This window comes from Homo sapiens, chromosome 11 (assembly GCF_000001405.40).
Source record: "Homo sapiens chromosome 11, GRCh38.p14 Primary Assembly".
Lineage (NCBI taxonomy): Eukaryota > Metazoa > Chordata > Mammalia > Primates > Hominidae > Homo > Homo sapiens.
In genome coordinates this window covers 128799862-128815848 of record NC_000011.10, presented here as the reverse complement: position 1 = coordinate 128815848, position 15987 = coordinate 128799862, and the positions used below count along the sequence as shown (strand labels likewise).

The following is a 15987-nucleotide window of genomic DNA, read 5'->3' as shown; positions in this document are numbered from 1 at the left end:
CTACTCAAATTGCCTCTTTCCTCCCACTAAGAAAACATATGAGTTAACTCAGTTAAAATGCAGAAGGTTAATCTAGCAGTTGTAGGTGAGTGAGTGGTCTCACTGGAAATTTTTCCTGTCTCCCTCTAGAGCTTTTAAGCTGAGTGTAAATTGACTATGTGCTTAGGGATTTACCAGCTCGGACAGACTGAAACAATTAGACAGGAGGCCGCATCAGACTGAGAGAGAGAGACAGATCCCAGGCTTGTGGGCCCACATTCCTTTTAAAACTTCCCTCCCTATCCTTTCTCAACTGGCTGAAACCCTGGAGGTTTGACTGGCTAACCCACTTCCTCTCACAAGTGTCCATCCCCCGGGGGAGCCTGGGATTTGTAGTTTTGGTATCAGCCTGCCTTTCATAATCCCTTAGCGGGACTCCCTGGCTGAGGGCGTGTAGTGTCAGTTTCAGTAGCTTTCTACGTGATGAAATGCCCAATGTGCTTTCTGCAAAACCTGCATTCCTTCCTGAATAACAGCAAAGCTTCTGTATGCTCACCAGAACCCAGTCACTCCCCTGGCCCCCATCCCGGCTCTTATTACCTCTCCCATCCCTGCCCCCACTGATACAAAGCATCCTCTTACCTCGACCCCCTGAGGGCCTTCTGGACACAAGCTCAGTGGTGCTGTTGATGGTGGAGGAACTTCTGAGCAAGGTGTGGGAGTGGGGCTGGGCAGCAGACAGCCATGCTTAAGGGTTGCTTCCCCCAAGCACATTCCCCCAAAGGACACCTTTTCAAGAGTTTTTAAGGCAACAGGTTTACATGATGCTTGTAATGAACAGATATTAGAGGAAATACGGTAAGAATCCAAGTCCACAGAAACCACCTCTCACATGAAGTACTGCATTTTGTTCAGGTTTTTATTTATCCACTAAGCATTGCCTTGGGTTGGCAGTAACTTGGCTTGGGGTGGACAGATGCTGCTTTCCTCCCTTGTGTTCTAGAACCTCCTGATCTCATTTGGTCTAAACTAGCAAACCTTATCTGAGAACCTCTTAATCCATTTCCCTTTGTGTATGTTCATCGCTCACTTGCATGCAGATGTTATTGGTTAAGTAAAATAACAATCTTTTTAAGTGTCATTACATTTTCTAGTGGCTGTTGACTATTAAAAATGTTTTAAAATAACAGATATTGAAAATAGGCCCAGTGTGGTGGCTCACGCCAGTAATCCCAACACTTTGGGAGGTTGAGGTGGAAGGATTGCTTGAAGCCAGGAGTTTGAGACCTGCCTGGGCAACATAGAGATACCCTATCTCCAGAAATAAAATAAAATAAAATAAAATAAAATAAAATAAAATAAAATAAAATAAAATAGAACTTCCTTTGTGTGGGACTCAACAACATTTTTCGACACTGAAAAAAGATGACCTCTGCTATAGACTGACTGTGTCTGTCCCTTCTCCCAAATTCATATGCTGAAACCTAATCCCCAATGTGAAGGTATTTGGAGGTGATTAGGGCATGAGGGTGGAGCACTCAAGAGTGGGATTAATTCCCTTATGAAAGAGACCCCAGAGCATTCCCTTGCTCCTTACACCATATCAGCACACAGTGAGAAGGTTCCCTCTATAAACCAAGGCAAGGGCCCTCACCAGACACTGAATCTGCTGGCACCTTGATCTTGGACTTCCCAGCCTCCAGAACTGTGAGAAATAAAGTCCTGTTTTTATGAGCCACCCAGTCTATGGTAGTTTGTTATAGCAGACCAAATGGACTAAGACGACCTCCTGCTAAAGGACTGTTGGTCAGTGTCCCAAACTGTGGGGAGGAACAGCTTCCATGAGAACCACTTGCAGGCCTGCATGCCCGCTTTGCTTGGCTGGCACTGTTTGTTAGATGGCAGAAACCTCATGGCACAGGCACAGAATGATCCAGCAGGGAAAAGACTGGACTAGCAGACAGGAGGGCAAAGATTCTGTTTGTCCTCTGGGACTAGTCCGCTGCATGCCCTGGAGCCAGCTAGCAAACGTTCAATCTGGGCATTGCAGGGGAATAAATGCCAGTGCCCCCTCTGTACAAATGCTTATGAGGAGAAAATGGTGCCCCAGTCCTGTCAGCCAGTGGGCCAGCTTCTGAGGCATAGGACAAATCACTGTGGAACATATTCAGGGGGCGAGATTTGGCTAAAGCTCTATGACTGTGTAGAGAAGATGAGCCTGAGCCAGTGTTTGAGTAGGACACATAAAGAAAACCTTTAAAAGAATGAACTAATGGGCTGAGCATCTTCTTACAGCACTCAGAAATATATGCCTCCATTTTCCCTAATGAATACTTTGCAGATTTCAAAATTGATGGGGAAATTGCGTGGCTAAGATGGAGATCTGCCAAAGAATTCAGCTAGTTTGTTCTTAAACATACCTGGCCTTCATCATTCCTCTTTCTATGCTTGGGCCACTAATACCAAGTTTTAATTTTCTCCTTTCTTGGAAGTCACTAGAAATCCAGTACATGCATACACTTTTTTCACTAAAGACCAACATCTTTGTTTTGAGAGTTAATAGCAGAGGATATTCAATATAGAGAAAATAGGAGGAAAAGAGTAGAATTTCAGTTTCAATTTATTTTTATATCACCATTTAAAATGTTCTATTTTGTATTTGTTTTCTAATATGAAGAATAATGTAACAGTTTGTATATATGATTTATAAATCAATGTGCATATGTTGAGAATATGTGCTTTACACATCTTTTTAAATGGCAGGGTGCAAGATTAAAAAAAAACTGGAGACAAATGTTCCGAAACACATCCCATTTCATTTAGGTAGACATGTTGTCTAGAAGGTACTTAGTGTTACCCTAAGAAGGTTCTAGGGTTACCAATGCTGTGAGTCTAATTCCTTGCAAATCAAGGACTTCCCAGGTCTCACTCTTTTCATTGTAAAATAGAGAAAATGAAAATAAGCTACCTAACAGTGAAGGAACTGGAGGCAAGTTTCTTCCTTGGGAAGAAAAATGACCTTAAAAATCTGCATGAGCCATAAAGTCCTGGTCTGAGACCTGAAGGAAGCAGGGCGCTTATTCTTTGCTGGAGTGGCAGAAGGTGGCCGTCTGGGTCTGAAGTGCCCAGGGGAGGCTGCAGAGTTAAATCTCACAGACCAGTCTGGATAGACCAGCTCGCTTTGCTCCAGTCCTTACATACAGGTTTATCCATGGCCTTAGCTGCTGTTTTATAAAACCCTTTTAGGCTGGAGGAAGATTTAAATAACACACACAAAAACACTACAAACATCATCAACAACAATGAAAAACCACACTGATTTTTTACCTTCTGCTGTACTGCAGTAGGTACATTCGAAAAATTCTTGATAGTGCAAGAAGTAAATAGGAAAGTTCCCCAGGGAAAACCCTTTGACCTAACGGGGGCGGTAAATAAGAAAACTGTCCTCAGCACTGAGAGAAGGAACCATTTATTTAGTCAAATTATTTTACAACATGGTCTTCTTTGACAGTTGTCAGCTTAACACTTAATATAGTTAAAAAAGTCAACAATTACCTGCAAAATTATATATATTTTAATGTCTAAAAATATGTTGCTTATATAGAGCAGGAAAATCCCTCCTCTCCACAAGGGAAAGTTTCGTTGTTTTTCCCAGAGCTGTGATTATTGCAGTACTGTTACACGCATTTCCAAAGCATTAAAGATCTAAATGGATTATCTTTTCCCTGCTTGTGTATGCCTGTTAAATAACTGTACCAGTGCTTTGCTTTCTCATAAGTCAGTGACTTAAACAGCCCTGTTTCCTTTTCAGCTATAGGCATATTATGCTTTTTAAAAACCAGCTATAAAAACATACAGACAGCCCAAATGTACAGATTGAAAAAAGATGTACAAATTACATTAAAAAAAATAACAGCGATTGATTCGATAGTAAAACTGCTTTTGTGACCGAGGTCAACTCGTTTATTTATTCTTAATTTTTAATTATTTATTTTTAATACTGTGAGATATAGGAAAATAACTCTGCATAATTTATACAGTAAGTTGCCTTCTGATTGGTTGGCCCTGGTCTGATGGTCTGACAAGCGCACAGCACTTGCGAATCTGCTTGAGTTTAGAAATCCCTACAACTTTTCCAAGTTCTGGGACCACTGTCATCATTTAAAAAAAAAAAAAAATTAGTAATTTAATTCCCCGTCTTTCAGGAATGTATGTATTTGCATTAAAATTTCTTAGTTCATATCTTGACTATTTCTAGAGAGAGTGGTCAGCTGAGTGCATACTGTCCACTGAGAGGGATTCTGCAATGCCCTTGGCGTCTTAAACACACAAACCTTCTTTCCATCAAATTCCAGTTGGGTGAAAACTTCACTGGCCTTACAATCAATGTTCCAGTTGCCATCCACTGAATTTGGTCCTCCTAAAATTAGATTATAAGCTTCCCACCTCTATTTGTCACTAAATCTCAAACCAGAACATGACGGGTTAAGTCCATGATTCTGTGTCATACTGAACCCCGTGTATTGACAAGAAACTGCTTTGGTCATAAAAACATAAAGAAAACGTACAGCTTCTTTCTCAGAACCATGACTTAACCATTCCAGTAATCTTAATATGCAACTCACAAGATGCTAGGAGACTGAGAATTCAAACTGGCATACTGGCCCATGGAATTATTCATCTCTTTGTTCAGGTAGAGGAAGCAAAAGTTACCAACATTAAAAAAAATGTTTTTAAAGAACAAATACAAAGGTTCTATCCAACAAGAAAGAACATCCAGTTTTGTCTTCCCTTCAAGGCCACATATGTCCTGTTGAGTCCAAAGCATCCAGTAAGTGTGCAGGATGGGCTTCAGCTAGAAGGCCACTGATGAGTAAGCTTCTAGTAGTAGCTGCCTAAGTGTGAAGGCACGTGGGTGTTAGGATGGCGGGGGACGTTGGGGTTGGGGTAGATTCCCCCCGTGGGGGAGGTCCAGTATTGTGATGCGGCTCCAAAGAAGCTGGAGGAAGTGACAGGCATGGAGGATGGATGGGGAGGGACAAAGTTCACCTTCTGCTGGTGGGCATGGTAGGAAGGCATGTAGGAGATGTCAGAAGGGTACTTGTACATGGACGACTCGGTCGGATGTGGCTGCAGAGCCTGGGCAATGCCGTGGAAGTCAAATTTGTAAGCATATCTTTTGCCGTGCACTTTGGTCATAATGTTTTTATCATAGTAATAACGGAGGGCCCGGCTCAGCTTGTCGTAATTCATGTTGGGCTTGCTTTTCCGCTCGCCCCAGCGCCTGGCCACCTCATCGGGGTCCGTCATTTTGAACTCCCCGTTGGTCCCCTCCCAGGTGATACAGCTGGCGTTGGCGCTGTCGGAGAGCAGCTCCAGGAGGAATTGCCACAGCTGGATCTGCCCGCTTCCTGCACGCCGTGAGGCAAACGGGAGAGAACAGAACACCTCAGCCCAGAGAAGGCAGAACCCAGTTCCCTAAATGCAGGGAGCTTCTCATCCTTTTAAAGAAACCTTTTGTTTCCTTCGACATTGGGATCGACTTGACAAGCCCTTCTTATGTCATTGTTGATTTGCCTTTCTGCTTGCCTTGGAGATGGGTATAATAAGCGAGGTTAGATCCTAAGATGCTTTGCCCCAAGGCCTGGTAAATGGAATGTGGGAAGTGAGGTGCAAACTCTGCCCAGAACTAGCTGTGTGATCTTGGGTGAGCCATATCCCCCCTCAATCCCTTTGGCAAGGCTTTTGAATCTCTTCATCTAGAAAGGCCTGAATCACTGACTGATCTCTAATTAGTGGTCATGTCCCCCAGGGAATTCCCTGTCAGCAATAAAAAGTCAGGGGCAAGGCATGACTGTGGGAGTCATTGGGAGAAGCTGCGCCATGAGCTTTAGCTTTTGGATGGACAGGACCTGGATTGGCCCTTGGCAGGCCCAGAGCTTGGCTTGCAGCTCTAAGTTCTACAGAGAACTTGTGCAGAGAGAAAAATACCCAGAATATGCTGGGTGGCTGCTTTCTCCTCTGGCAGTAATGACCAGGCACTAAGGAATGGGTAGGCAGAGTCCCTGGGATGGGAAGGTGAGTGGGCCACACTGCGACAAGGGCCTGCTAGCTCCCAATCTCGATGGACTTGGTTTAGAAGGACCCTCTTGAGAGTTATTTTTGATACTAAATCTTTAAAGTACAAGGTCAAATTGACTATATCTGCAACTTTTCCAGGACACATCTCTTTTATAAGGCCAGATAACTTGGCAACACTTTCTAAAATCACAAATAAAACCCTTTGGAATATTTATGAACTTGTGCCTGGCATGCGGGAGACAACTGAGAGCTGAGTGGAGTTGTCTTCTTTTCTTTCTTGCCCATTTTCTCTGATTGAAACGCCTACCTACCTGTGCCACTTATTACTCATCTACACCTAAGTGCACATGTGCAGTGCTGATGTGTTTATTCCTAGAAGTATCCTCAGCTAACCAACCTTGACACCTCATAACAAGCCCTGACCTGTTGTTCACATGCTCCAGAAACAGACATTGAACATTTCAAGGAAAGACGTGCATGTTACTCCCCACTCAGGTGTCTGGACTTAGGACAGAAGTCTCTGTGATTTCACAAAGCTACGAAACATTCTGGCAAAAAAGGCTTGCAGGCCAAGGTAAACTCACCAGGGTTGGCTAGGCGACTGCTGGTCGGGCCCAGGATCTGATACGGATCTAAGGAAATAAAAAAGGAAATTTGCTTCAGTGTTTTTAAAAAATATGACAACCGTACCAACCATAAGAAAACCATAAGGGTTTATACTTTTATTTCAAGATCACAGGAAAGACTGATTTCAGAAAACTTTACTGCTTTTATTTGCAGATCTCAAAGATCTTGATGACATTTGTGGTCTTCATCTCAATAATTACAGAAAGAACAAAGAATAGGAACAGGATTACTTTTTCTTATTTTGGCATCTAAAATGTGCAGATTATGTTGTCATTACCCAAAGCAAAACAAAGAAAACATTTGGAAAGGAACTGGATAATATTCAATGATACAACGGACAGCTGACTCCATGGGCTTAAAGCAGGTCTCATGGTTACTGGTCTTTAATAACTCTACCTAATACTAACAACATTATTAATCTGTTTTTTTTTTTAAATGTAGCATGAAAAACACATGCCTAGAAACCAAGCAGCCTGGGTTTTAGCAGCAGCTATGTGATAAACAAATAACTTGTTGGACAATTTCTGGGAATCAGTTTTCTCATCTGACAAATGAGTGGGTTGGGCTACTGGATTCCTCAGTTTTCTTCTAGTATAACACTCTGTGATTTGAAATGTCACACAAGCCAGAAATGTCAGCACAAACCAGAGTGTACATTTTAGCTATAAAATGACTATTCTTAAAATCTCACTTTCCTCAAAACGTATGTGTTTATTTAGCCATGAAAAAGTCTTTGCAATACTGGTTTAGGTGAGAGGTTTATCTCCTTTTTTGTTAGTTGAGGAAATCATGGTAGAGAGCTGGGTCTCGACTTGGCAAAATTGTCATGTATTTTGTAAAATTTTGCTATTTTTCAACTATAATTGCAGTTTTAAAAATATCACTATGATTTTTGGGTTTCTACTTAGAACCATAAATTACCTTCAAAAGTCCTTAAGCCCATTGAGACCATCTTTTCTCATCCACATCATTAATATGATAATTATTTTTGGCAGGTGATGACTAATGCATAATTTTGTTGTTATTGGACAGTCTTTAAAACTCTCTACATCTGACTTATGATCCACAGTCAGCAAATTTTTTCTTAACCTTCCAGGTGAAATGTCAGTTGATTTTCTCTTGCTCTGCCTTCTGTGGAGATGGGGAACAATGTTTGCCTACCCCAAAGCAAATGACTTGTTCAGAACTTCATCTCAGCTGCATCACATAAGAAGATAGAGAGAGGAGCTGGGGCTTGGGCACAGCAGCTGTCTTCAGATATGCAAAGGATTTCGGAGGAAGCAGGAGGAAGGCTTCTCCAGAAGGAAAAGCTTGAGTGGAAATTCCAGGAGGCAGACTTTGGGTCAGATAGTGGAACTGAGCCCAGCTAGAAAGTCAACGCCCTGTTTTACTACAAGCACAAGTAAGGTAGAGGTGAGGGTAGGATAGACCCAGAAATCTCCAAGTTCCTCTCCAATACGGAGTCTCCAGGTCCATGGCTTTCAAAGTTCCTCTGCCTTAATTGTTAAGCCAACTCATCACAGGATGGGGATATTTCTGAAAGTAAGGTTTGGTGAAGCATAAAAGGCTTGGACAGGAATTTGGGGGATCTGGGATTGTAGCCCTATTTCTTTCATTAACCAGCTGTATGGTTTTTAGCAAGTCACTTCACCTCCCCGGGCCTCAGTTTCTTTATTGAACAAAATAAAGCATTGGAATAGTTCATCTTCAAGTTCTTTCACCTTTGATATTTAACAAGTCTCTACTTGATGTCAGTACCTGTTACTTCATTCACAGGACTATTAGGGTCAAAGATAGACCCTCTTTGAGAGAAATAAGAGAAAACATATGTGGTATATTGTTTAAACCCTCCATCAGTTGACCATGTGAAATCAACAACTGTGCAGGAAGCAAAGGAGAGATTACATATCCTGGGCAGGTACCTGGCTGGGGCCGTTGCTCTGTATTCTTACTGATCGTTTGTGCCCCTCCAAGGGGAGGACCTGTGGCAAGAGGGAAAGAAATGCAGTGAGTAGGACCCAGCTCCCCGAGGGGAGCAAGACGTCTTGACAGATGTGCTTTCTCACTCATTCCTTCGCCCACTCTCCACTGACTCATTTATTCATCTTATTTTAGAAACATTTACCTAGAATCTACTATGTGCTGGCCCTGTTCTCCAGGCTGGAGATTCAGGAATGAACAAGCAGTTCCTGGTAGAACTCGCATTCCAATGGGAGAGACAATAATAAACACATTTTTAAATTCTTAAAATTTTGTCTTTGCTTAAATGTCACCTTTTCATTTTCAAATTTTTAAAAAGTAAACTAACAGTATAGCATCACTGATGGTACTGAGGCTGTGGATTTCATTTTCAAATCGGAAAGTTAGAGAAGTCCTTACTGAGAAAGTGACATCTGAGCAAAGATCAGCTGCTTCCTGGTGTCCCTGTCTTGTGAGTTTCCTCCTTGGTATCTCTCACACACCCCTTCCATTCCCATGATCACTTCTGCATCACAGATCTGTATTGCTTCTTGCATGGTTTCTGGCTTAGTCTGACTGGTGTCCTCATTACTCTTCTGTCTCCCCACAACCCACCATACACGCCAGTGTTCAAAACCTTAGTGACTCTTCATTGCCTAAAGAACTAAGGCATATCTTCATAGCATCATTTACAATTCTGTTTCTTACCTTTCCAGACTTCTTCTGCATCACACATCCTAAGCTCCAGGAACCTGAGGTCCTCACTGACTGTCAGACATGCCAAGCTCATGTCTTCCCCAGCCCATATCGCCACAGGTCCAAATCCTGCCTCTCCTTCCAGAGCTAACTCAAGTGCTACCAGGTCCACAAAGCCTTCCTTGATACCAACCAGAAGAAAGGAGTTCTGTGTGTGCTTGATTTCTCTCTCCCGCTTATGGGACCAGTGCATGTCTGATTCATCTTTGTGAATCTTATATTGCCAAATGTCATGTGCAGAGTAAGTAAATAATTAATACACATAATTGGAAGGGGTCTTGGTTATTGTTTGGGCATTAATTTGTAACCCCAACCTCTTTCTTGAAAGAATTCCCTTTACCACCTGTTCATGTGCTTCATATTTTGCTTCCTAGGCATGGCAAGTTTGATTTCTGGTACAGGAGTTCATGAGTCATTCTTGCCCCTTATTCTCTTACTGGGGGATATTGGGTAGACTTCGACATGTCATCATCTCACCACTTGGTGGAGAACCTGATGTCCCAGACCCCCCGGCATCTCCTCATCAGGGACAGAAGATAACCTGTTGAGGAGATGGCAGGGTTCTGAGACATCAATTTCTCCACCAAGTGGTGAGATGATGATATGAGGAAATCTACCCAGTATCAAGGGGAATGGGGAAATTGGTACGACTTAGCCTCAACAGTTACGGGAGCAAAATTATAGAGAGTCATTATCTTGATTTAAATAACAAAAGCAAAACCCAGTGACAGTGACCATTCATTGGTACAGAACCTTGTCTCAAGAAAACCTTCAAATTTCCCATGTTCTAAAACCGAGCGCAATAAAACAAAACTCAAAAATCTAAACGAAAATCCCATATCATCTTTCAAGGACTGGTATCATGGAAAGGCCCTAAATTGGCAAATAATTTTGATGTCTACTCAAAAAGCAGGGAAACAAATGCTTGCTGCTCTCCTGTGTCTCATGATCCTGTTCTCCAATCCTGTCCTCAGAAACATGCTTTCCTCCAAAGAACTATAAAACATTTACTTACTTTTGTTGAGGCCAGAATTCATGTTATTGCCCCAAGCTCCTCTTCTGACTGAGTCATAAGAAGGGTCTAATGAACAATAACAAATAGGGGTACATTAGCATCGCCTGCTTCTCAGAAAAGTTGCATGAGCATTATCTGTAGTGATCAGGAGAAATAAAATTCAATTCAGCAATGGCTTTTAAAGCATCCCTAAATTCTGGAAGTGTACTCACCCCCTGGGGTTGGAATATTAACACTCTGACTTTCAGAAGATTGTAGTCTTATCTGGGAGCCAAAGTAATGGGAAGAACCCTGAATGTGAAGTCAGAGGATTGGTTCAAGTTCTCTTCCTGACACTCTTTGTTGTGAAACCTGGGATGAATCAAAAGTCTCCTCTGGGCTTCAATTTTAATACGGAAATAAAAATTTATGTTTTATCTACCTTATGGGGTTGTGGAAATGATCAGATGAGATAACATATGGAAAAGCACCTTATGAAGCGTTCTACAAATATAAACTGACACAAGGTTAGACATTTCTTAAATGTCCATAGTTCTGTAGCAAAATCCTTCAAGCAGCTCTGAAGAGCAGGCAAGGTCTGGATTGGGTGAAAGGCCCATAAGAAGAGTGTCTCAAAGCCCATGGCCATGACATTCCTGGGGGCCGACTCCAGTCCCTGATTTCAGCACATGGATGATGTGGGATGACATCACAGCGGTGGGAGCACATTCCAGGCTCTCTGAGGGCTCTCGGGCTTTTCTATTGATAGTGGAGAGGGCTGGGCTGATGACCACAGAGAAAGGGAAGAGGCCAGAAATGTGGCTGGGAAAGGGGCTGGATCAGGAAATGAGAGGTTGGAGACCTGCTCCCCACCTGGGCATGACTAAGGGCTTGCTTCTCAGTTGTCTTGGAGAATACTCCTCAAATCGAACTTTTGTGATCGTAACCCCTTTCTTGAAAGATTCCACATGCTTCCATAAATGTGTTGAGAAATTGCTTAACTAACTAGCTGGAAACTTCTTCCTTCCCTTTCTCTTGGTATGAGTCCCATTGAGACATTGAGCAGGAATAGCAGAGGAGCTTGAGGATACAGAATTATGACCTTCAAAGTTATTCCATGAACAACAAAGAAACCATAAAAACCATCCGAACAAATGGAGCACAAACCTCATCAAACAACAGAGTCTGACGGGGTGAAACACAACCATGCCCTTCAGCCCCTTCTGAGCCTCTCAAACAAATTAGAATAAGAGTTGGGAAGACGGATGGACTCTGATTGCCTGGCCTCATTGTTTCTGGCTAAGAAGATCCAAAAGACAGGGACACTTTTTTTGTGGAAAAATCCACGTGCAGATGCACATTCCTCAAGGCTCTGGAAAAGCCCGTTCAGTTTTAAAATTACAGTCTTTAGCAACTGGCATGAAAAGCAACACAGAAAGTGAGGGGGATGGGATAGGGAGGAAGGGCAAGGCAGGGGACAAAAGAGAGAGACAAACCTCCACTCCTTCTGTTTCTGTTTGACTTTTTTTTCTTTCCTAATTCCTCCTCTAAAGGGATTCTTCTTGCTTAAAAACAAACAAGACAAATGAAAGACCAGCTTGCTTGCAAGCTTGGAATGAGGTGGAAGGCTCTGATGGGCATTTTCTGAGATGTCTTGCAGAGGAAGTGCAATGTTGGCAGCGGCAGAACATTTTTCTTTGAGCAGGAGGAGGCTGCTGCTTAGGCCTCTGGTAATAGATTTGGGACCAACTTCTGCACTGTATTGTGTGCATGGCCAGGGAGTGGGTGTGAAGTAATAGGAAACAAGTTCCTCGTCCTTGCATGTGAGTATGAGAGGGTAACTGTGATTGTGAGGAAACACGGGTCATGTGCCTAAGGCATGGAGGACACATAAAGGGTTCCTGGAGGTTGACAGAGAGGTGAGTGGAACTAGGGCCAGGTGACTCTTTGGAGAGGGGAGAGTGCATCAGGTAGGAACAAGGCAGAGGTGGGTGGTGAGATGTCAAGGTGAGGTCTAGAGACAGCCATGGGAGGAGCTGTACCACTGAAGTAGAGCAATGTGGAGGGAGAGGAGAGAGGGCCGAGGCATGTTCAAGGTCTTGCTGATGGTAGCTCAGCAAACTCTGGGACCTTGGCGTTGCAGGTGGGAACTAAGGGAGGTTTTGCGCTTGCAGCCATGCTAGAAAACAGGGTGTGGTGAAGAATGAGCTTGTGGTATGTGGGGTGGATCTGAGGGCCTGGGGGAAGGAGATAATTCTAGTGGGAGCAGAACAGAAAGTAGAAGAGAAGTAACACATTCAAACAAAAAATCACTAAATTCCAGGGAATCGTACATGTCATCTGAACTTCTGACTTGACTTCTGACTTACTGCATGGATAAAATCTGTCTCAAGTTTTCTAAACATTTTTTTCTGCTCAATCATTAGTCTACTGAAGGCTTCAACCCTCTCTGAAAGCTATCTGGTAACCACTCAGAATTATTTCTTTTGGAGCCCAAATTATGGCCATGGCTATAGTTATCGTTGACTTCTTATCGGCTTTTCTCCCTATTCTCTTATTCTAGTTCCAGGGACAGAGCAGGCATGCAAAAATCTGAATGCATGATGGAATTCCCTGTCACCAACAGAGGGCGGATGACCATGGGATTTTCCTGTAGCTCTGAGTGATGGAGCCTGGTTAAAGGCATGCCTTATCAGAGCAGTGGCTTGGCAGGCCCATCTTTCTGTGGTGCCCCAGGGCCTTAGGAAGGAGGCAGAGTTTTATGGGTCAATGTGCCCACAGGCCCATCTGATGGCAGAAGCTTGGCTAACAGGACTTTGGAAGTCCCAATCAATGCTACAGTCCTCACATAGGTGAAAAAGGAAGTGACAGAAACACAGAGGCCACCCAGCAGTCAGCCTGAACTGTGCTCTCACTGTGAAGTAATAGAGTCATAAATAGCAACAGGCCATGCCCTAAGCTGGTGTCTTCATCCAACGTCCATCCCAGCAGCCTGTGGAGTCAGAGTAGCAAAGACCACAGGCCTCCCTCTCATTTCTTTTTTATTCCCAAGTATTTGCATGGAAAATCTTCCCACTGGTACCTGGCTGCACAAAGGACAGCCTGAGCACATTGGCTCTGGGGTTTAACAAAAGCACTCCGTAGGCTCTGGGGCTCGAGGAGACGTCTGGTCAATGTAAGATTTAAGTTAAACCCAGCATTTTCAGAGCAATTTCTGCTCCAAAGAAAAAGCATGAAGATGCAGAAGGCCAAGAACTAAAGTCTTGCATTCTGCCCTAGGGGTATGAAGAACCAGGCCAGCCTTGCAGAGTAAATGAGATACCCAAGTAAACACCCAGCATAGTGCCCAGCACAGAGGTGGCCTCAGTGGATGTTAGCAATCAAGAATACGATTTGTGTCACAGACCAAAAATATTCAGACCCAGAAACATGTTGGGCAGCCTTCCAAATCCACATTAATTCCCTCCTCCCCGCAACTCCCTCATCCTCCTTCCTCTGCTCTTCCATTTTCACTTATCACATAATTTAATCAGTAATTAATTTGTATTTGTCGTTTATGGTTCATATCCCCCTCCCTCCTGAACATCAGGTCCATAAGAGTAGGGATCTCTGTTGTGTTCTCTGATACATCCAAGCACTTAGAACAGGGCCCCACACAGAGTTAGTAGACTCTAAGTATTTGTTGAATGAATAAACTTGGCCAATATTTTCTCCTACTTGCTACATACACACAATTCTTCTTATTGTTCATGATATCACTAGCTGAAGAGAACCCAGTGCTCCTACCCTGACTTCTTCACGAAATTAAGCCTCCAGGCAAAAGATTTCCATCTGGGGTGTTGAGGGGTACAGACTACATCACTCCTGTGTCCCCTCTGAGTGGACCACAATCCACCTATTTATGTATGAGGCATAGGCTAAAAGCTTGTTCCCACAGGGAAGTCAAGGCCTGAATGCTGCTCGGTGAAGTGGTGTGCATTTTATGTGTTTTTAACAATGTCATTGTTGAAGTGAGGGTTCATATTTTTTTCCTACTAAAAGTCACTCAAGAAGAATTTAGCAGTGTGGTCATCTCTAGTCCCCAACATACACACAGAGATATGTCTATAACCTGAATGCAGAAGCCTGAACCAGGGAGCTGACCCAGTGGCTCACATCCCCACACAAACCCCCTTGCAGAGCCCAACACCTGGCTGCATGAGAGCTCCTGCCCCGACTCTCCGTCAGCGCATGGAGTGGGGCTCAGGCAGGGTGTGCCTGCTATGAGAAGAAGCCTGAGCGTGCATGGAGGCCCTCTCGAATGTGGTGCCTGGAGTCTGCCTCCTGAGAACTGACAAACTTGAGGTGGCAGCCAAAGGCCCAGTGTGTAAAAATGTGGCCGTCGGCACCAGTGTACCAGTTGATGATCTTGGTCTGTTTCTGTGGTGGCAGATGGCTTAATCAGCAGACAATCACACCCTGGTTCTGACAAACTAACTTTTCACTGTCGTGAAGGCTGACACCTTGGCTTTACAGAGTACCAAGATAACAGATCTTATTATTGTGATTCCTTTTCAGAAGAGTGACCCAAAGAGCTTTGCCTGGAGTTTCTGGTTTCAGGCAGTCCTGAGATCAACTCTTGCCAAAGCAAAGAGGCCGGAGCCTCAGTCTGGAGAATGAAGACATTGCCAGCCATTGTGGATAATTCAGCCTCACATATATGATGTCCTTAACAGTATCACCATTATGTGATGCTTAGTGGGGCTGAATTTGACACTAAATGGCCTCTTAGATTCCAGGAGAGCCTCCTGAGGTAGAGAAATATGAGCATGGAGATTTTTTTCCGCAAAGTCTCTGTTGGAAGGCGAAAGCTGTTTCTGGACATGACCCTCTCATAGACATACCAATGTTAACTTAGCTTCTGTGTGAAGCTTTTAACCTGGTCCTAGAAATATGGCCAAACATCTTTGGGAAGATATTTGCTTCTGCTCTGATGCCTCTGCTGTCTGAAAGCCCAAACGTCCCTGCCGGCATGCAGCGCTCCACCTTGTGACCTGACCAGAGGCCAGCAACACAGCGACATCAGCCCACAAAAGCCTCTCTCTTCATCCTCTGTGTCATAAAACCTTGCTCTCAATGACTGGGTGGAAAAAGATGAATTTTCCCTGAAACTTCTCATTGAATTTCTGGTTGCTGCTAAGAAGGCTGGCAGCACCTAACCCTGTTTATCCTTGGAAAGCCTGGCTTCTGAATGCAGACCTTTCAGCCGAGCAATGGGCAAGGCTGCTCATGCTCCCAGCAGAGCAGGGGGATTTGGTAGCCAGATCCAGACCTCCTTTCTTGAAAGAGTGAGGATGCACAGGAGAAATGCTCAAATCAATGGCAGACCTGAGACCCAAAGCCCTCAACTTCCCAAGAGAGCCAAGCCCACGAGGAGGAAGATTCACTCCCAGACTCCGACAGGGAAGAAACTGCAGGTGAGCGGCGGTCTTTGTTGTTGGGCTGTCCGACAGGTTATGACGTGTACTGGTAGAGGGCTGGACTAGGAGATCCTCTAAAACCCCATCTCCATCAGAGGTCCTGTGCTTCTAATAGGTCCAGTCTTTGGGGAG

General features: G+C 43.8%; 1 protein-coding gene across 9 annotated transcripts in view, besides 1 other annotated feature; it reads right to left on the bottom strand.

The window, feature by feature from the left end:
• Positions 274-383: an enhancer, noted in NCBI's record as "active region_5741". NCBI's record gives its function as "activates an Ori minimal core promoter by ATAC-STARR-seq in GM12878 lymphoblastoid cells {active_cell/tissue: GM12878}" and the evidence as "EXISTENCE:reporter gene assay evidence [ECO:0000049][PMID:35858748]".
• FLI1 (Fli-1 proto-oncogene, ETS transcription factor) overlaps positions 2582-15987 on the bottom strand; it is a 128136-nt gene continuing 114730 nt past the window's right edge. For 8 of the 9 annotated variants that reach the window (NM_001440370.1, NM_001271012.2, NM_001440371.1 and 5 more), the window contains 4 exons: positions 10418-10483; positions 8610-8669; positions 6645-6692; positions 2582-5390 (listed from right to left, as the gene is read on the bottom strand). In NM_001440370.1, coding sequence (NP_001427299.1) covers positions 4861-5390; positions 6645-6692; positions 8610-8669; positions 10418-10483 — 704 coding nt within the window. In that variant the 3' untranslated portion in view covers positions 2582-4860. The remainder of the gene's footprint in view (positions 5391-6644; positions 6693-8609; positions 8670-10417; positions 10484-15987) is intronic. The other variant, NM_001440372.1, reaches the window with a different exon arrangement.